The sequence below is a fragment of the Homo sapiens genome, chromosome 2 (genome assembly GCF_000001405.40).
Source record: "Homo sapiens chromosome 2, GRCh38.p14 Primary Assembly".
Lineage (NCBI taxonomy): Eukaryota > Metazoa > Chordata > Mammalia > Primates > Hominidae > Homo > Homo sapiens.
In genome coordinates, this window is record NC_000002.12 from 8635828 (window position 1) to 8656706 (window position 20879).

A 20879-nucleotide genomic window follows, 5' to 3' on the forward strand; every position below is an offset into this window, starting at 1 on the left:
AATTACATAATATAGAATATAAAATGAATATTTTCTTGAAATGTATCCATTGTTATCCATTGTTCTTAAACTATTAAGAACTAGGAGTTTAAAGCAAAAAAAAAAAAACATTGCTGCTGAAGACTTTGTCCTCTCCCAGCTCCACAAGAGCACAGGGTGGCAGAGCCAGGGGTTTGAGCCCAGGCTCTGGGCTCTGACCGCCGGGGGCCAAATCCCAGCTCACCGTGAACTGTCTGAACAGCCATGGGCAAGCCGTTTCTGCTCTCTGAGCCTCAGTCTCTCATCTGTGACTGGCGGCATCCACCCCTCGGGCTGCTGTGGGGGTGAGACAGAACGATGCATGTGAGGCTGAGAAGGGGCCTGGCAGACCCCGAGCACCCGGTGCGGGGTGGCTGCTATCATGACTGTGCAAATGCTTCTCCTGAGTGGGAGAGGCAGCATGATCATCACAGGAGTTAAGCCAGCGGGAATTCTCTTCTGTGTGCTCCACAAGAGGCTATTTGCTGAGCGTTATTGGAGACCTCTCAGGCTCTGCAAAGCCCCTGCTGCCCAGCGCTCTATTCTGAGCCCGGGAGCGATCAGGGTGGCTTTTTGAGGGCTAATGACTCAGAAAGTCCAAGGAGTATGCGAAGCCAACGTGGAGTGACACAGAGAAAGCTTCCCCCACAAGCCCCCTCCTCCCCCGAAACCTGGCCCCATTCAATGCCCACAAGTTCCAGTCAAGCCACTGAGAGCAAACATATTTCTAAAGAAAGGGAATTTTCACGAATTTTGTTCTGAAAATGCAGCAGGAGGCTTTGAGACTTTGGAGACCCCTGGGCCATTGAGATTCTGTACTCGGTGCTTCCCACACCCTCTCCCCTCCGGTTCCACCTCACCCTCCTCTCCAGGCCTCTGTCTGCCACAGGTTTGCTGGAACTGCCCCAGCCCCCAGGCCCCAGAACTCCTCTGCCCAGAATCTCCATCTCCTAAAGCATGAAAGAGACAAAGCTGTTCAAGCCTCTCTTCCCTCCACTGCATTTTCCTCCCTCGCATTCCTGAGATGCTCTCCTCCTCTCTGCAGCCCAAGAGCCGCGGCCTCTGCTCCTTCTGTTTACATTGTACAGAGCTGGAGACTTTGTAAGACCCGATAGGAGGAAGCACCAAGAGGAAATCGGAGCAAACGTCTTAATGAGATGGTCACACTCGGCCAGGGTAATGGTCCTGAAGTGCTAGACGTGCTTCCCCAGTCGCTGCCTCACTGTTATTTGCCGCTTTTCTTTCATTACCATTCATTCCGCATCATTCATGTGATAATTTGTCATGTTTGTTCCTAGTCCGCTTTAATAGTACTGTGTCCTTTTCCCCCAAGTGAGCATGGTTGGGTTTGTTTTGTTCATGAGACAGGTTTTTTGCTCTTGTTGCATAGATGGGGGAAAGTGAAAGGGCAAAATAAAGAGATTTCTTGCCAGGAGTGACTCCAGAGCAGTTTAGAGAAATCCTGGCCTGGAGTGGAACCTGACAGGGGGTGTGTGTGCAAGACCAAAAGGGTCCTCCAGGGAGGGGTGATTGGCACCTCTCTGCACCTGGGAATATCAGGGCTAGCCCAGCCCCAGGGTCCTCCCAGCTGAAAGCTCCTCTCAGTGAGCAGCTGCCCAATCCCGAAGGCCCAGAATACACAGAGAGACCTTTCCTCTCAGGATAAGGGAGCTCCCTAAGTGTGGGTGTGGGGCCCTGGCTGGGTACACGTCCCCATCGGTAATGGGACACCTTCCAGAGGCCACGCCACACTCTGGAAACTGATCACTGAGTGAGTAGAAGAAGATAGCCAGGGCTGCCACTCTCACCCCTCCCGCCCAGATCCTCCCTGCCAGTTATGGGGGAAAATTACATTCATATATAGATAATAAAATATATATAATAAATTTAAAATATATTAGAAATTATATATAACTATACATATAATAAAATACATATAATAAATTACATTTATATATGGGGAGAGAGAGGGATGGAGAGCGAGACAGAGAAAAGGGGGAGAAAGAGAGAGACTCAGAGAGGGAAGACAGGAAAGAGAGGAGAGAGCTGGGGGAAGAGAGAGAGAGCAGGGAAAGAGAGAAAGAGCGGGGAGGAGGAGGGGAGAGGGAGAGAAAAAGAGAGAGAGAGAGATCTCCTCTACCCGCAAATAAATACTATTATGATGTTGGCAATGTTTTAAATTGGAGCAGTTGATTTTTATTCCCGTATGCCTGAACTTAGAATCAAATACCTGACGAGATACAGTCCCTTCGAGATCCATCCAGACACAGCACTGTCAGCACTTGGTTTTTGCACTGATTTAGTTTTCTGAAGCTCATCCTCACATCCCACACCCTCTGACCCCCCAAAACCATTCATGCTTCTCATCAATCTTGACTTTCACAAGACTCAAGCAATTATTGGGGTAACTGTGCCCCTAAACTGCCCTCTTCCCTCCCCGTGCCCCTAGGAGCACCGGGCTGTCTTGCACGAGCACAGACCCACACATCTCACGCACCCCTCGTCGTCGGGGAAACAGACTTGGCAGACCCCTCAAGGAGCTCCAAAGGCTGCTTTTTTTAAACCTGCAGAAAACAGAGGAGGTAATTTAACCCTCCTTTCTGATAAGCTCCCTCACTGTCTTTTGCCCCAACACAAAGGTCCTCATTAGCTTTCACTCGGGGCTTTGAACTCCACACAAAAGCCTTCCTTCCCCTAACTGCCCGCTGGAGCTGGCGGTGGGGCCGCGGCCAGCGTGTCAGCATTCCCTTTGTTGTCTATTTCTAAGGTGTTTATAACGAAGCCTTTTTCTGCTCCAAGCTCACCCCCCGTAGGTGAAATCTCAGTCAAGGAGGATATTCTTCAGCTTCCTAAACACCAGCAGCCCCTTTTTTTAAAAGCCTGACAGTTAACTAAGTTACTTTTGAGTACGACCTGTTTCTAGCACTTTGGGTGGGATAGGCCAATTGAGAGAGATGCTAATTCCCCTGTGGATATGACTAGGCAATCACCTCTGTGGAAATGGTGATGTCCTTTTCTCCCGCTGGCCACAACCTACCTGCAAGCTGTGGTCCAAAAAATTACTAGGAAGTTCAACAACTCCAGTGCAAAATGCATTTGTCCCTCAGAAGCAATGTGTTAGCTGTCCTGTAGATCCCAGGCTAGCCCACAGAATTTGACTTGGTCCCTGGAGCTGCTGGTCTCCCACACTAATAACAGTCTCAGAACAGGGCCCAGTTCCAGGAGGAAGGAGAGCAAGAGAGGGAGTGCCCTCCTCCTCTCCAGACAAAGTGGGCATCGGGGGACTGCAGAAGGGCTGGCATCTGTCTTCAGTCAGTGTTCTCCCCTCGCCATCTCTGTGCCCCTCTCTCTGTGGGTGCCAGATCCTGACCTCTGACTCCAAAGCCCACTAGAAAGCACCCTATCCTGAGGGGCTGGGGACAGATGGGCCATCCCACCCCTCCATTCTCAGCCCATACTAATCTCTGCCCCCCTGTGCCCAAGCCCAGGGCCCTGTCTGCTCAGTGCAGGTGAGGAGTCAAGTCCCCTGGCTGGGAACCCTTCCAGGGAGAAAGCAACAGGGAACAAAGGCAATGGCTTGCCATCGGCCTGGCCCTACCGCACTGAGCTAGATGACAGCAGACGGGGCACTGTGCCTCCCTGGTCATTGCCTCCTTTATCAAATGAAGGGATCTGGGCCCTCAACTGTCTCCTGAAGTCACCTGTGCAGGCATGTGCATTGGTTTAAGAACAAATTTTGTTAACCCAAATGAATCTCCATCCACCTAATAGAGTTTCAGGCAGGAACCTAAGGCCTGATGAAAACACACGGACCGTAGAAACAGCTTCTTTGAGGCCAGGTTCCCTGAAGTCATCTCTTCTAAGCTGTCCCTGATCACACAGAGTCTCTCCTTCCCACACCCCCCATATCCTGAAAGTGCCAAGTTTCTCCTGATGGCTCCATGTCAACCATGCCAGAGGCTCCTCAACAGACAAAGTAAAATTAGCGTGGCCATTTACAAACCCAAGTGCTGGTGAAGCTGGGACCTCCTGTTCTGGGAGCCCCCAATTGTTAAGCCCCATGTCTGCACACAGCTAAGGAAGCTGGCCTCCCTGTGGCGCATGTGTGGCCGTGACTGTCCCTATGATCAACACCTAGAGTCACAGTTAAGGACTCATCATGTAACTCGGCTTGACCACTATGAATGCCCTTAACCTCCTGTGTACTATCTTGAGTCTCCTGTGGAACTCATGTGTAAAGCGATCACAGTATTTCTACGGGAACTCCAAGAAACCACTGGAATTCTTAGTGCCTTTGAGTTTGACCTACTGTATTTTAAGTCCACTCAGGATGGTAAGGAAGATGATGGTCCAGGAAACAAATGTTTTACTTTATAACAGATCTGCTCTGTGTTCGCTTTTAATAGAAAGATATAGACAATATATGCTCAATACATATTCCATAAGTGAATGCTTACCATTCTATATACAGGCAACTTTCCCATAATTCACTATTCCGTATAGCACGGTGTTTCTACAAGGATAATAGAGCATCATTCGAAGAGTAGCACAGCCTCACTTAAAAGTCTTGCCAGAGATTAGAACGGGCGCCCAATGGCAGCCCCATGGCTGTTCTATTAGCATGTCACCCGCCCATGCAGCTAAGCATATGCAAACCTTGAATGCAGCTGTTTGCATCAGCATCCAAGACAGAGGTGATTCTCCAAGGTGTGGACTGCTTCGGCTTCTCGTTTCCTTCTGCTGCTGTCCCTCACCCAGCCTGGCCGCTGGACAAAAAGGGAATACGCAACACCATTGGAGTTATGGAGGAAGAGACTGAAACTGCACCGATCTGGAATTTGGAGTGGACTTGCCCATCCTTCAGCAGGCTCTCAGTAATCTCCTCCACCAGCGTGCGTTCACCACATGGCTCTGGCCCCAACGCCACCAGGCTGGACACTGGGGAGTTAGAATGTTTAAAGTGTGGTGTCCATCACCCTACAGGAGGTAATTGATCTGGTTCAATGGTTCTCAACCAGGGGCAATTTTGGCCTGCAAGGGATACTTGGCAATGTCTGGAGATGTTTTTGGTAGTCACAACGGGAGGGTATGCTACTGGCAACCAGGGGATGAAGGCCACGGATGCTGTTAAACATCCTACAAGACAGAGGACAGCCCCCACAACAAAAAATTATCGGGTCCAACATGTCAATGGTGACAAGGTTGAGAACCCCTCCGGCAAAGCGGGCTCACCTGGGAACCACAGGTACGATGTTAGACACCCTATAACCAGCTGTTGATCATGAGAGCCACGGAAGCTCAGAGGAAAGGGAGGCTGTTAGGGTGGCTGCAGCTACACGCCTCATTTCGGGGCCTCCATTTCCCCTTCTCTAAAATAGGAGTATTGAAGGTTGTGCTTATTCATGACCACGGCTGGGGATGTTTTTGCCCCTTCCTCTCTTAGACATAAAAATCTCTTTCTACTCTCACAGTTTTAAATTAGGAATATTTGGTGGTGTGATCGTGTATGTTTAAAGCCAAACAGAAATTTCCTGTTTCCCAGCACAAAATAAAATTCAAGTTTATAAAAGAGCCTGTAAAATCTCATAATCAAGCCCATTAGCCAGGCAAAATGCTCCACTTTGATTTTGTGGTGTTTAGCTTTCTTTTCTTAGCACCACTTCATTAGCGCGCTTTTAATGGATGTTCTCCAGCCTGCTTCTTGAAATTGCTGAAAAAGAAAACACACGATTCTAAAGCTCAAGACACAAGAGAAATATTCCTTCCCCCTTAAATATGGAGGCCGGGAGACCGCAGAGCGTAGGGAGACACATGGGATCTAGCATGGCCCCACCACCAGGTCTTCCGGGCGCGTCGGAATCCTCGGCCGCATTTTTGCTCACTGGCCTCATTGCCAGTGGGCTAATTTTCAGCTCTTTGCTGCTTCAGCGGACCAGATTTTCTTGATTAATAACAAAAGGTTTTGTTGGGATCAGAGCTGTTTCCCACCATCTCTATGCAAACCCCGGCAACACAAACTGTGTACATTAACATTTCAAGGCGCTTCCTATTAAGGATGGCAAGAAAAGCCTCTCTTGGTGGGTAAAATCCATTTTGTCCTCTCTTGTGACATCTGTTCTAACTTTTAAAGCAGAAAGGAAGCTAGATAATGCCAGAGAGTCCTTTGATTTACAGTACTTGCCCTTCGGACGCCACCCTGCTCTCTGAAAGCACCTAACCTTTCTTTTCTGGATGTACGCAGGCACCGACGTGAGAATCTGCACATTCCCTTCACACTGGAGAACTTCAGAAGTAATTCTGAACTTGTCTTTCAAACTTTTAATTGTCTTTTTCATGATTTCTTAATTACATTTTCAATTACTTCTAAACCTCACAACACTGAGTCTTTGAAACTCCAATTTTTAACAGCACAAAATTTTAATGTTTATTGCTACATATGTTATTGTGTTTCATCTCTAATTCCCCTCAAAGCTAATTTTGCTTTAGTAGAATGAGAAATTGCAGCAAATTTAGTTAGGCAACTGAAATATGTACACAAATACAGAGGAACCCCCGCAAGTGATAGAATAAAAAGGAGAAGAAGAGAAGCCCAGCGGAGTCCCGGTCCCCTCCTACCATCTGTGCTGCAAGCTCTGGGGTCCCTTACATTGGTCATCCTGAAACAAAGCTGAAGGCAGATTCCAGCCGGTTTTCCATTCACTATTCATTCAGAGGTCCACCCGCTCCATATGCATTCAGCCAACTGCTGTGTTAAATCAGGGCCTTCTCCCAGAATTGACATGGTAATGAAATCATGGTGTTGCTCAGTGAAAAGACCGCCATAGGTATGCCCCTCTCTTGACAAATCCACCCTTTCACCCCATTGAGGCCTGAAAATTATCTCATAACATCACAACATCTGTGCACAGAGGCCTGCCTTTTGGAGCTGGGCATGTTTATTGCTCGGTTGAGTCTCCTGCACTGGCTCTCTCAGGATAGGGCAGGCTGCCACTCAGCTTGGTCCAGCCACTCCTGGGCATTAGCCTAGCAGCCCCAGGCTTCCCTCCTGCTTTTCCCACAGCCTGCGTGCTCCCAAAGCCTCGGGGCCCAGAAATGCTGACGTCTGGATGCCGCATGCCAGGAATTTTAGTGGGATCATTTTCAGGTGTTAAAGGTGGACTACAGAGCTCAACTAGTTCATGTATACTTGCTGTCAGAAAACCTTATAATTAGTCCGGCAAAGAAAACCAGACAAAAAGTGTGAGGTTTCTGGGGTGGGAGGAGCTGAAAGTGAGGAGAAGTTAGCTAATGAATTTTGGTCAGACTCTAGCAAATGACATTTGCTTAACTAATAAGTGTATATGAACTTTATTTAACTGGCCTAGGTCAATAAAATGCTTCTACAGGGAGCAGCGAGGTTGGGGGAACATATAGTTTGCACAATCTGCAAGCTATATGTGTTCTGCCCCGATACAATGATTCCATTTCATTTGATTTGACATTTAAGAGCCCTTTTTAGAAGGAAAATGAATATTTCTGTATTTTATTTGCTATAACCTCACTTGACTCTGCACATAGCTGAGAATAAATGTCACATTCATTGCACTGCAAACAGTTGTGTGCTATCCTGGAGAGGGGTCACATGGTGTTGGGGGGGTGTTATTAGCCCCCCCGATAAGTGCTCACAGGGTGTGTCTGTGGCCCATATGGGCTCTGGGTGCCCGGACTTGTTTTGCTTTCTTCCCCTGTGTCCACATCTGAGCAAGGATTTGGATAAAATGTTCCTGATTACATATGAGATGCATTTTTGCCTGATAACAGGGATACACAGAGCGTCTCTTTCATTCAGGTGTCCAGGAGGCCCTGCTTCCACTGCAGGGAACAGAGAGACAGGCCAGCTTGACCTGGGCTTTTCCAGCGTCCATTCCCATACCACCTGGCCTTGACCACCTTGCTAAAGCTTGAAGGTCAAAACTGAGCCATTTTGATCACTTCCTGGTCACAGGACTAGGAAATGCCTCGCTGGTGGATATTTTCCTTTCAGTTGTCTTTAAAAGGAGTACTCTGCCTGTTGGGGTCACTCCCAGAAATAACGTCTTGCCAGCTCTCTGGGTGTCCTTTAGCCCAGTCAAGTTGACTCATGAACTTAACCATCACATGCTCAGCTAGGCTTCTAAAGCAGCGCTTCACAGACATGCCTACACATCCAATACTGATGGGGTCCCACCCCAGTCTGGGGTGCAGCCTGGACCAAGAGTCAGGGTTCTGGGGTGCAGATCTGGTCACTGTACTGTCCGTTCCCAAAGCCCTTCAGAGACTTCCTGCTGTACCACCACCCATGTGCCAACCCCTTCATCAGGGCCCCCACCACTCTGGGCTCATCTCCCATCACATCTCATCCCTCCCCACTGCCCGTCGCCTCTAGGGTCCTTAGGAAAAGGACCCTGTCCTGGGCCCTGAGCTTTTGAGGGCTTAGCTTCAGCCCACATCTGGCTGAGCCCTTCCCAACCTGGCTACGGACTGAATCAGTTATGGATTGAATTGTTTTCCCCCAAAATCCATATGCTGAAGTCCTGACCCCCAGAATCTCACAGTATGACCTTATTTGGGGATCAGGTTTTCACAAAGATAATCAAGTTAAAGTGAGGTCATTAGGGTGGGCCCTACCTAATATGACTGGTGGCCTTACAGAAAAAGGAAAGTAGGACACAGACACATAAAAGGAAGACAATGTGAAGAGACACAGGGAGAAGATGGCCACCTCCAAGCCAAGGACAGAGGTGCTCTGAAAAGCCAATCCTGCCAGACCTGCAGCCTCCAGAACTATGAGGCAAGGGCTTCCTGTTGCTCAAGCCTGGCGGTTTGTGGTGCTTTGTAAAGTGGGTAGTCCTAGCAAAGCCAGGCAGGATCTGCAGGGTCGGCCCACAGGAAGCCCGTGCCCCAACTTCTACACCATGCCCTAGGCACCTCGGAGCCCAGAAATCTCTGCCCAAAGGGCCTGGCCCCATTGCCAAGGCCTGGGCAGGTTCCTTCCTGGAAGCGTCCTCCCAGGGCGGGCCGCACTCCAAGGCTGCACTCCAAGAACCAGCTCTTGGAGGAGGGTGGGGCAGGAGCTTGGGTTTGAGAGCTGAGAACCCGCAGGCCGCTTGCAGGACCTTAGCCATGGCAGAAAAACCAGCCCCAGAGGCGGGCAGGGGACGATGGGACACACCAGGGACCTCACTGGCCCGGTGCCCTGGGCCCCGTGAACACCAGGGGGCCCCCTCCGCCCCACGCTCCCTGGTGGCCGCGTCATTCCTCCTCAAGCCGAGTGAGGAGGGCAGGGAAAGTCACCCCGGCTGCTGCCCCCATCTCGTCCCACGAGAAGGAGCAGAAGGAGCAGCTGTAGGTCTAGAATCGCATCCTGACTCCTCAAGTTTCCCATCGCGCTCCTTCTTCAGCTTCACTGCTCAGCCCCGACCTGGCTTTCTGCCCCATCGCTGTGCCCTCTGACCCCCAGCCCCTCCGACAAGCACCGAGGCTCCGCCCTCTGTCCGAGGCCCTGTGAGCACGGCGCGGGAAGTCAGCAGGGTGGGGCGGCTGCCCCTCGGTGCCAGGGCATGGGAGCCTCAGGTGGGGCTACTACAAAGTGCGACTGGGGCGGAGGCGCCGAGAAGCCACGCGGGCTCCTGTTCCCGGACCGCACCGCTGGGGCGAGGCTACCGAGTCACCACGACCCCCAGGCCAGCCCAGGCCACGGGTGACTCCTGGGGGCTGCCCGCGGCCCGCCCGCCCGCCTGGGGAGGAACCCAGAGGAGCCCCGTGGGCCATGTGCCTGTTCCCAAACTGCGATCCATGCCAGGCTCCGCACCCCCGGGCACGGCGACGTCCTGGCCTCAGCCTGGAGCCGACAGCAGGGCCACGGCCATGGCCTCCGAGAGGGCAGCTGCCGAGACGGTGGCCGGGGCTCTGACATGCGCCCTGCTCTGCCCTTGGCCCCTTCCCCGGGATCTGTCCGTGTGCCCGGAGCGCCTACGAGGCCCCAGTGGAGTCACGGCCCCGGAAAGCGCTGCCCCTGCGCCTCAGCCCCAGTAAAGGCTGTTGGTTCCTCCCGGCGCAGCCCTTCAAAAGCGCCCACGTTCCTCCCTGTTCAGGCCACATACTAATTTTAAAAGAAAAAAACACAACCCCCCAACTGTCAAAATAAGGTATTTATATTTTAGTGAGTCATGTTAATATGTGCTCCAAAATGGTAGGGGCCTCCTCAAATCCTGCTGTCGGAGTGTGTGTTCTCAATCATAATTAAGGTTACTGTTAGGTTCTTGGAGACTACAGAGGCAACCAGTTCTTTATCCATTGTGTTTTTGACTGTGACTAGCCTAGGACATTTTGACGTTCAGACAAGTGTTGTCTAGTTTTGACACTCTTCAAAGGACCGTCTTCAGCCCTCAGTGTAGGTTTCTGATAACTGAAGATTTTGAACAGGAGTTGACCTGGTGAACTGAACCAGTGGAAGACTGAAGTCATCTTCTTTTGACTTTTTGGGACATGGTTGATCCTTTGTTTTGTCTTCCAGAATCGAGGAAGCTTTTCTTTTAAGCTGTTTGTAGCTTTTGGCCATTGTGGGGGTGAACCAACCAGTGGTCTGTGACTACAGTTCAGAAGAAACAGTTGGGCCATCAAACTCCAAATGGCCATGCAAATGGCGGACGATGGCTCTCTACACTGGGGACCCTAGATAGGCCTCTAAGTTAAGAGCAGTCATCGTCCCTATCCTAACGGCCATTAGATGTACCTCTTCAGAGCAGGGATTGATGGCAGCAACAAGCATGTGGTGTGGCACTACCATCACACCAGCTGCTGCAGGGAGGGTGCAGGTAGGAGGTGGACAGGGCCCCCCACAGCCCACTGCCCTGGGGGTGGCTGCAAGGGGCCGAGCCCAATCCCGTTCAGGAGGGGGAGCAGTGCAGCAGGGGAGCAGCATGGCTGGGCAGAAAGGGGCCCCAGTGCAGAGCTGGGGCTGCACTTTGGGGATCCAGGACAGGAAGTGGAAGTGGCAACCACTTTTGGGACCTGGCCAGTGGCACAGCCACTGTGCCCACACCGCCTAGGGTGCCAGGTTCCTGCACTTCAGAAGAAGGCTCTACACAGGCCATCCAGGGCCGGGTCCCTGGGGTCTGCCCTGAGTCAAGATGGCTGCCAAGCTTGCCACTTCTGATGGCCGAGCCCAGGGCCCGAGATCCACTCCATCCCAGGCCATCCTGGAGCACAAGGGCAATGGGGAGAGCTCATGGAGATGTCGCCCCTGCCCCGGACACTGGCTTGGGGCCCAGCAAGGATCAGGAGCCCCCAGCCCATGCTGCAAGGGGGCACAGCTGGGGCTGCATGCTCCATGGAGCCAGCAGGAGCCAGGAGCAGGCAGCAGCCCCGTCCTCACAGGCATGGCTGCAGCTGCCCAAGCCAGGCAGTAGACCTGGGCCTCCCGTGGTCTTGGAGGGCCAGGAACAGGCAGGAGCCCTGCCCTCCCAGGTGCCACTGCAGCCACCCAAACCAGCGGCTTCAGCCTCAGGCATCTCTGCACTCTTGGGGACCTGGGAAGGCCCTCCTGCCCTTGCAGGCTCAGAAGTGCCTGCTCCAGCTGCCTGGCTTCTCCCTGCTATTGATACCTGCTCCGATCTTGGAGCAAAGTCTGGGCCAAGCTGGGGTGCCATGAACAGCAGCAGGAAGCAGACAGATTCCTGGGTGGAAGGAGGCAGGTCCCTGGAAAGACCCCATCTTCAGGCCAAGGGCTGCCAGATCCCTGCACCAGAGTGGAGGAATGTGGTGCCTTTTTTGACCCCACCCATGGCCATGCATGAACCAATCAGCATGTACCTCCTCCCCTCTGAGGTCCATAAAAGCCCCAGGCTCAGCCAGAGCAGGGTAGAGGACAGAGGATGGAAAGATGACTGGGCACTGGAGGACCAACTGCAGAGATGATCTACCCTCTCTGCTGAGAGCTGGAAAGTCAATGGGGACCTGCCTGCAGAGAGGAACCACCCTCTCCAGGGCCTCCTTTCTGCTGCTTGCTGAACACTGGACAAGACTACCTGCCTACAGAAGGAACTGCCCCCTGCAGCCTCCTCAGAGCTGCTCTAACACTCAATAAAGCTTCTCTTTGTCTTGCTCACCCTCCACTTGTCTGCATACCTCATTCTTCCTGGATACAGGACAAGAACTTGGGCAAAGGCGCCACCAGCCACAGAGGTTTCTGGCCAGAAAAGCAACCCCCTAAAAGATCCTGTAACACAGTGAGGGCCCTGCCTTGACTTCAGAGCCACTGCCTCCTAAGTGGCCTAGAAGCTTCTTGGGGACACATTTTCCTCCAGGGGATGAGGTTCACTGATGCCTGTTCTGGGTCTCTCCACCTTTACCCTGCACGTATCCTTCCTTCCATGGAACTTCCTTCCATGAGCTTCCTTCCAGTCACTCATGTCCTGCACAGCGAGGCAGTAGGCCTATAAGTAGAAGTTGGTGCACAGCACCCCTTGTGCACATGTGAGGGGCATTTGCTGGGGGACATGGCCCCATGCAACTCCACAACTCCCCTGTTCCCCATGAAAAACCCAAAATGTGCACCCTCATCTCAGACCTCCCCTTAGGACCCCAAATTCTCTCTGGTGAAATTGTCAGCCACCTTCCTCTGGAAATCCCCTTTCCAAAGATCCCCTTTGTGGGCTTAGCTGTCAGAAGCATAGCTTTGCCCTTGCTCCCGTCGCAGGGGGGTCCACATCCCCTGAATCTGGGCTGGCCTGTGGCTGCTATAGCTGCTGCAATTGAGCAAAGTGAGGCAGTGGGATGACGGCAGCCTCCACCTTTGCCATCTTGGAAGACAGGTGCCACGTACGGAAACCCAGGGTGGACTCGGGATGATAAAAGTCCACACAAAGAGCCCCCTTTATGGCCTTTATGGCCCGGCTCCCCAGCAGCAGCCTTGAGGCCCCCAGAGGCCTCTTGGTCTCTAGCAGGTCAGGCTGTCCCGAATTGCTGACCCACACACCAACCCCTGAAGCGGCTGTTATGCCAGGCTGTTACATTTTGGGCAGGGGGTGGGGGCTCTGTCATACAGTAACGGATAACTCAACCATCCTTGGCAGGCCCCAATCATCTCTTGGATTCCAATTTGCCAGTGTTTGTGTTTTGGTTTTCGCTTTCCCCATTTTATGACCTCCCTAAATCATTGCTCACTGCTTCCCTGAAGTCCAGCATATAATAGTCAATCTGTGCACTGGAGTCTCAGAATAAAACCCATTTATCTTCCTTAAGCATTCCAGAGCAGTAAAACTAAAAATATTAGCAAGTTACTTTGGCTAGAATTACCAATAGTCTTCCCATAACATTTAACTTCCTATTTCTTTAACCTGAGTTTAAAGAAAACATATACATATATGTTTATATATAAATGTATATATTTATATGTATATAAATTATAATTTGTACATAATATATATTTATTTTATACATAACATATATTTTACATGTAACATAAATTATACATTGATACATTATATATGTGTACATATATGTGTATGTATGAGCGTATAACGTATGTGTGTATATGTGTATAGGTATAATGTGCATATATATGTGCATATATTATATATGCATGTGTGTATATATGTATGTGTATAACATGTATATATATATGTGTGTAGGTATAACGTGTATATATATACATGTGCATATATGTATGATTGTATAACATGTGTACATTATGTGTATATATTTATGTGTATATGTATAACATGTGTATATATTATATATGCATGTGTGTATGTATATGTGTGTATATATTACATGTGTGTAACATGTGTATATATTATATGTATGACATGTGTATATTATATATGTGTCTATATACTATATGTGTATAACGTGTATATATATGTATATTATACATGCATGTGTATATATGTGTATGTGTATATTATTTCTATATATGTGTATATGTACGTGTATATGTGCACATGTGTATATATGTATGAGTATAACGTGTATATGTGTGTATATAACATGTGTATATGTATGTGTATATATGTATATATTATATGTGTGTACGTATGTGTATGTGTGTATATGTGTGTATGTATGTGTATGTGCGTATATGTGATTATATGCATATGTGTATGTGTATAGCATGTGTATTACATATGTGTGTATATGTGTATAACTTGTGTGTATAGATGTATATATTACATATACGCATGTGTATATATGTATGTGTATATTACATGTGTATATGTATAACGTGTATATATGTGTATATATTATATATGCATGTGTATATGTATGTGTATAATGTGTATATTGTGTGTATATAATATATATGTCTAATATGTGTGTATATATATTATATATGTGCATGCACACACACACACACACACACACAGATCACTCTGAAGATCTACTTTTTAGGGAAATGTCACATAATCACCACTTTCCTCCTTTCTGTCAAAATATCTCCCCCATCCAGGCACTGGGTGCCTTAAGATGCCACCCCTCACTCACTCCCCTCGGCGCACTCCTTCCCTCAGGTCCCAGCCTTTCTTGGCGGCTCCTCCTTCCTGTCCCATGTGACAGCACAACTCCTTTATCTCCAATCCAGTTCACCCCAGCAGCTGGTCACCAATATTTGTTGAATGAGCTCTGCAGGGGGTGGGGAAGAGGAGGTGCCCTCCAAGAACATCCCCTAGCTCCTTCCCCTGCTCCCCGTCCAGCCACAAGACTTCCTATTTGACCTTGGTTTTCCAAATTTCCTGCAGTCTCAGTGGTAACCTTTCCACTCCTCCCTGGCCCCACCACAAGCAGCCAACCAGAGACTGGCAATTGGTGGACCCGTGGAAGGGATCCATGAAGGGACCCATGGAAGGTCCAGGAAACACAGAATAGAGGAGAGGACACACCTTTGGCCAGTTACTTGTTTCAAACTCATGGTATATTAATACTTAGAAAAATCTTTTAAGCATCCAATAACACTATTTTGATCATTCAATGGATGCCCCTCATGACCAACATACCCACACACTAAGAAAATCATGCATGGCATAAATAAAGCATGGGGTCTTGAAGAGCTTGCCTTCTGGTGAGGAAATGGCTGCAGACGAGCCGTGGGGAATGGTACCAAGCTGAGCCACTGGGGCTGGGCAGAGGGGCACACAGATGCAGTGGGAGCACGGAGGTCCTCAGAGGAGCAATTAGAAAGGCTACTAGCAAAGGGCACATTTGAATAGACCCTTGGAGGAGGAGACTCGCCAGACAGAGATGGGGCAGAGGGGTCACAGGCAGCAGGACCCAGGGACCCAGAGACAGGAATCCTTTGTGTGGAAAGAGAAAAAGCCTGGAAAGGTGGAATAAGAGCGGGCCGTGTGGGTCCCATTTCCCGGAGGGATTCTCTCCTTTACTTCAGCACCGAACCTGTGCTAAGTGATGCTGACATCAAAGCGCACAGTGGAGCAGCCTCAGGGCCAGGATCAGGGCGATGATTTGAGAGCAGTGAGACCTTGAATGCAGAATTTATGAGGTTTCAAAAAACTCAGTGGTCAAGAGAAATCATCTTTCAATGCAATATTTAAGAAATCAAAATTAATGCAAAAATCCATGGCCCACTATTCACAATAGTAAAGACATGGAATCAACCCAGGTGACCATCAGTGGTGGACTGGAAAAAGAAAATGTGGTACGTGTGCACCATGGAATACTATGCCACCATAAAAAATAAAATCATGTCCTTTGCAGCAACATGAGTGCAGCTGGAGGCCTTTATCCTAAGCGAATTACCACAGGAACAGAAACCCAAATACCACATGCTCTTACTTACAAGTGGGAGCTAAACACTGAGTACACGTGGACACAAAATGGGAACAGTAAACCCTGGGGATACAAAAAGAGGAGAGGGAGGGAGGACAAGGGTTGAAAAACTACCTGTTGGTTACTATGTTTACTACTTGGGTGCCAGGATCATTAGAAGCCCGAACCTCAGCATCATGCAATATATCCATGCAACAAACCTGCACATGTACCCTCTGAATCTAAAATTTTAAAAAATAATTCATGATCAAGAAAATGCCAAATTTTTAAATAAAGGCAGGATCATACATACATAGAAACAGAGTAGAGTGGCAGTTACAGTGCAGGGGGGATGGGGAACTGCAGGTCAGAGGGTACTAACAAGTCTAGGGATCCAAGGTACAGCATGAGGACTGTCTGAGTTCATTTGTGTTGCTATAAAGAAATACCTGAGACTGGATAATTTTTTTTTCCAGTATATTTGGTTCAGGGTTCTGCAGGCTGGAAGACGAGGTATCTGCATATGCAGAGGGCCTCAGGCTGCTTCCCCTCATGGCGGAGGGTGAAGGGAAGCCGGTGTGTGCAGAGACCGCATGGTGAGGGAGGAAGCAAGAGAGCAAGACGGTGCCATGCACAGTGGCTCACGCCTGGAATCCCAGCACTTCAAGAGGCTGAGGCAGGTGGATTGCTTGAGCCCAGGAGTTCGAGACCAGCCTGGGTAACATGGTGAGACTCAGTCTCTACAAAAAATACAAAAACTAGCCAGGCATGGTGGCATGCACCTGTAGTCCCAGCTGCTTGGGAGGCTGAGGTGGGAGGATGGCTTCAGCGTGGGAGACAGAGGTTGCAGTGAGCAAGGTTGTGCCACTGCACTCCAGTCTGGGCCACAGAGCCAGACCCTGTCTCAAAAATTAAGGAAAAAAAAAGAGAGAGAGACAGACAGAGCAAGAGGGGAGGTTCCAGGCTCTTCTTCACAATCAGCTCTTGCAGGAACTAACAGAGCAAGAACCCATTCATTACTGTAGGATGGCATCAAGCCATTCATGAGGGAGCCATTTCCAGGACCCAGGAGCCCTTACACTAGGTTCCACCTGCAACACTGGGGGTCAAATTCAACAGGAAGGTAGTGGTTTCAACACAAGGCTCATTCACTCCCATCTTGGTGTCCAGCAAACTCTTCTGTCTACAAATATCTTCTACCTTTTGGAAAGTGAAAACATTTTAAACTTAATACTTCAGTTCAGGAGCTGGAAGCTTGTCTTCTCACTGAGTACTACTCAACACCCTTTGTCTCTGTTACCTAAGGGCAAGCCATGTGTGTGGGCCAGGGCTGGGCGCCGACCAGGACAGGCTATGGATACCTGTGCATCCTGCCAGAAGCTCGTGCTAGGCCTCTACAATGGCCAAACGGTGCTGGCCAGAATAACATGGGCTGATCAAAGGAAGGTGTGTGGGGATGAATCTGATAGTTAATGGCATTAGTGTACATTTCAAGAAAAAGGGAGGGGGCAACTTGAGTGCTCCCAGGACTTTCTTTAAAGGCGCAGACCAAAACAAGCCAAGTAGCCGCTGGGCAGGTCCCAGCAGTCAGGGCAGCCGGGCCCTGAGCCCAGGGCCTCCTGGAGAACCGCCCAACATTGACCTGTGAGCAAGGTGCCCTCTCATCGATCGCTACTGACTCCTTCTTCACTTTTCAAGACAATGATCGTCTGGGATGAAATTTCTTCCTCTTGCATCCTAGCCAAGAAGCAAACTTATTTTCAGAATTTAAGAAAGATTTTCAAACATCTCCAATTTGAAAAGTTCCAATTTCAAGTAATTTTAAACAAAACTCTCCATGAGCAACTAAATATTTAAAATGTGTTTTTCCATAAAAGTGAATCAGCTCAGTTCTGCAGGCTGAAAATACAACAAGGAGGATCCGGGTTGCAGAAAGCAGAGGGCCACCTAGACCGTGTCTGAGAGACGGGGAGAAAGCAGCTGTCTGCTGTGCACCAGAGGCCTCTAGGGACCCCGGCAGCAACCCCGTGGCGGGCCACACTTGGGAGCTGATTTGTTTTCAGAACCACCAGCTAAGCCACATGAGCCAGGAGCCTGGTTATCCATTCAAAGCCCACAAATGCCTACTGAAGCGGAACTTAGAGGAAAGGTTCAGAGGGAAGGGTTTCTCTCTTCTCTGACCCTGAAAGAGACCCATTGTAGCCTGAGGGGCTGGATGGAAAGATTTAGACAAAAATCACAAAACAGAGAGGACAAAAGGTCACAATCAGTGTCTATGGCATGGTAGAAAGCCTGCTTGCCTCTGAGTCCAGAAAGCTGCACTGGAATCCTGCAACATACCTGCTTATTTCCGAGGTCTACGCTGAGCCTCAGTGTCTTCCTCAGGACGAGGTTGGGGCTAGTGGAGCACCCTGCCGTGTCCTCCCTCCCAACTTCTGCACGCTGATTCTGGTTCCCTGACTGTTCCTCCTGTTCCCGCCCAACAAGGTACTCTTCACACAGGGGTCTTGCTACAGAATGAATCCTGCCTTGTTACCCACCTACTCCAAAATCACCACTGGTCACTCCCTTCGAGAGCTTAGCCTGTCAGAAGCACTCCTGCCCACAGGGTCAGCTCCACACTCCTCAGTCCTTTGGGACGTGGCCTGGCCTGAGGTCCTGGCCTTAATGCTCATCATAGCAGCCAGACCAGGTGGGCGCAGCTCTTCAATGCCCCCTGCCTGTTCCTGCCTTGCCCTTTCTCTCTGCTTCAACAACCTACCTAGGCTCAAACTGCCAAGTAAGAGCAATCACCTCCAAAGGCTGTTGTGAGTAAGGAGTGCATAAGGGAAGCCATCTGACGCATTTACCACAGTCCCTGGCATGGCCAGTATTATCTGCTTACCTGTCATCACTGTTAGAATTATTATTAGAATTGCCCATCATGGCCAGGCATGGTGGCTCACAATTGCCCATCATGGCCAGGCATGGTGGCTCACACTTGTTATCCCAGCATTTTGGAAGGCCAAGGCAGACAGATCACTTGAGCCCAGGAACTCAAAGCCTGGGCAACATAGCAAGACCCTGTGTCTACAAAAAAATTTAAAAATTAGATGGGCATGGCAGCACATGCCTGTAGCCCCAGCTATTGGGGAGGCTAAGGCAGGAGGATTGCTTTAGCCCAGAAGGTCAAGCCTGCAGTGAGTTGTGATTGCACCACTGCACTGTAGCCTGGGCAACAGAGTGAGACCCAGTCTCAAAAAAAAAAATGAATGAATTGCCCAACACACCTACCATCTCCTAAGACTCGTCTTCCCCAGGAGGTCTTATCCCATCGCCCATACCAGTGCTCCCCAGGTTGGGTTAGGCCTGGGCCCCAGGCTTCCTGGCACCCAAGCTTGCCTCTTATCTTAGGACTCGCCATATTATACTGCAATGTATATATTTGTCATGCCTCACTGACAAATTTATATTTTATCTTTGTTTCCCATACTACTATCCTAATAGTTACCACTGCATTGATGTTCAAATTTAATGAATAAATGAACACATCTATCCCATAGTGGGCACACAGATGTTAGTCTACTGTCAAGCCTTTTCTTGAAGATATCTGATGATGATGTTAACTCAGCAGCCTGTTCCCACAGGCTTGGAAGCTCTGATTATCACAATAGTTACTCTTTATCCAACCTGTGTCCTCTCTGCTACAGTCTTCACTCATATCATCTGCCTTCAACCTAAAGCAGAGCCCATAGTTGACTGTCACCACCATCCACACCACCTGGTTGCACTGGCTCTAAGGCTCTCCATCTACCTCAGAACACTGACTGTCTCGCTGCAGCTTGACCCTAACAATTCCCACCAACTTGTTCCGAAATCAGGAGGGTTTGATTTTCTCTACAAATAATGTCTCATGCATATGCTTTCAGAAAAGAGGCTGGGGTCTGAATTTCCTAGACATGGTTCAGCTGAGCCTCTTGGCTTCGTTCACTTTCAGTCTATTAGGGACAGTGACATGGGCCAAAACTGCTTCAAAACACTCCTGACGAGCACTCCCTTGCCACTTCGCTTTTCTGGGGTGGAATGAGTACTGCAGCAGTTTCGTGCAGAGAAGGACATGAGCAGCCTAATACCTTTTGGAATCCTTGATAACCCCTTGACGATGTTTGTCCATCACCCCCACCTCTCCCTCAGTTAAGTGACTCTATTTCCTTAATTTTTCTCCAAAAGATCATTAACTCAGCAAGTGGAAGGAAATGCTCACAACATTGGAGAAGGCAAAGAATGGGCTGATTCCATCTTAAATGGAGGAAGATGCAGCAGGATTTGTGGGTGGGGTTATTTTCTAGGTGAAGGGAGGGGCTAAACATGAAGATTTTCATTTGCATGTAAATTTCAGTGATGCATACTGCCCAGAGAAAACGCTCAACTTCTTGATCAATCATGAACTTGCTCTGAAAACGCTGATTTTCATTAGGTGATAAATCAGAAATTTCAGGGCATCCTAGGAGCACTCCCCAGGAACAAACTTCAAGGAGTGACATTCAAACTAATGAAAATGTGTTTCTCCCTCCCTTTTGAAATGGCAGCGATAATACTGAAAATTAAGAACGGCAATGATAGGAGATTTCCAAAAGCAAAGTACCTTTGGGCAATACAACCGCAAAAGATAATCTATAGAAGCTCAGCCATTCCAACAATTCACACAGTACCTTCGTGCCTGGCAGGTTGCAATTCTGTCTTGCTTTGGCAAATGAGTCAGTCAGAAGCCAGAAAGAAAAGCTGACTTCTACACCCTGCAGTCTTACAAAGCCAACCAACTAAATCAACAAGGACTAGCTAATGTTTGTACTTTTCTCTCCCTGCTTTTTTGAGCACCACAAATTCAAAGCAGCTGTGTGCTTCTCCCCACTCAACCTTTGGCCTATTAGCCAAAGCATATGTAGTCAGCAAACCCGGTGGCTGAGACCTGGCTTTCTCAAGCCCAACTTAGAGGCTTCTAGAGGTAAAAAAAATTTGTGCCAATTAAATAAGTCAATTGAGGCCGGGTGTGATGGCTCATACCTGTCATCCCAGCACTTTGGGAGGCTGAGGTTACA

At 49.2% G+C, this 20879-nt stretch overlaps 1 long non-coding RNA gene across 1 annotated transcript in view, besides 2 other annotated features; it reads right to left on the reverse strand.

Moving 5' to 3' along the window:
• The window catches only part of LOC105373411 (uncharacterized), a 57557-nt gene extending 36959 nt beyond the window's left edge, over window positions 1–20598 (reverse strand). The window contains exon 1 of the long non-coding RNA XR_001739274.1: window positions 20493–20598. This is a non-coding gene — a long non-coding RNA (uncharacterized LOC105373411). The remainder of the gene's footprint in view (window positions 1–20492) is intronic.
• Window positions 1374–1897: an enhancer, noted in NCBI's record as "H3K27ac-H3K4me1 hESC enhancer chr2:8777331-8777854 (GRCh37/hg19 assembly coordinates)". NCBI's record gives its function as "activates a minimal SCP1, AML or CMV promoter by ChIP-STARR-seq in naive H9 embryonic stem cells {active_cell/tissue: H9 hESC(naive)}" and the evidence as "EXISTENCE:reporter gene assay evidence [ECO:0000049][PMID:30033119]".
• Window positions 5437–7634: an enhancer, noted in NCBI's record as "VISTA enhancer hs1527". NCBI's record gives its function as "enhancer in: neural tube[7/10] | hindbrain (rhombencephalon)[7/10] | midbrain (mesencephalon)[7/10] | forebrain[7/10]" and the evidence as "EXISTENCE:transgenic organism evidence [ECO:0001131][PMID:17130149]".
• Window positions 20599–20879: the final 281 nt, after the last annotated feature.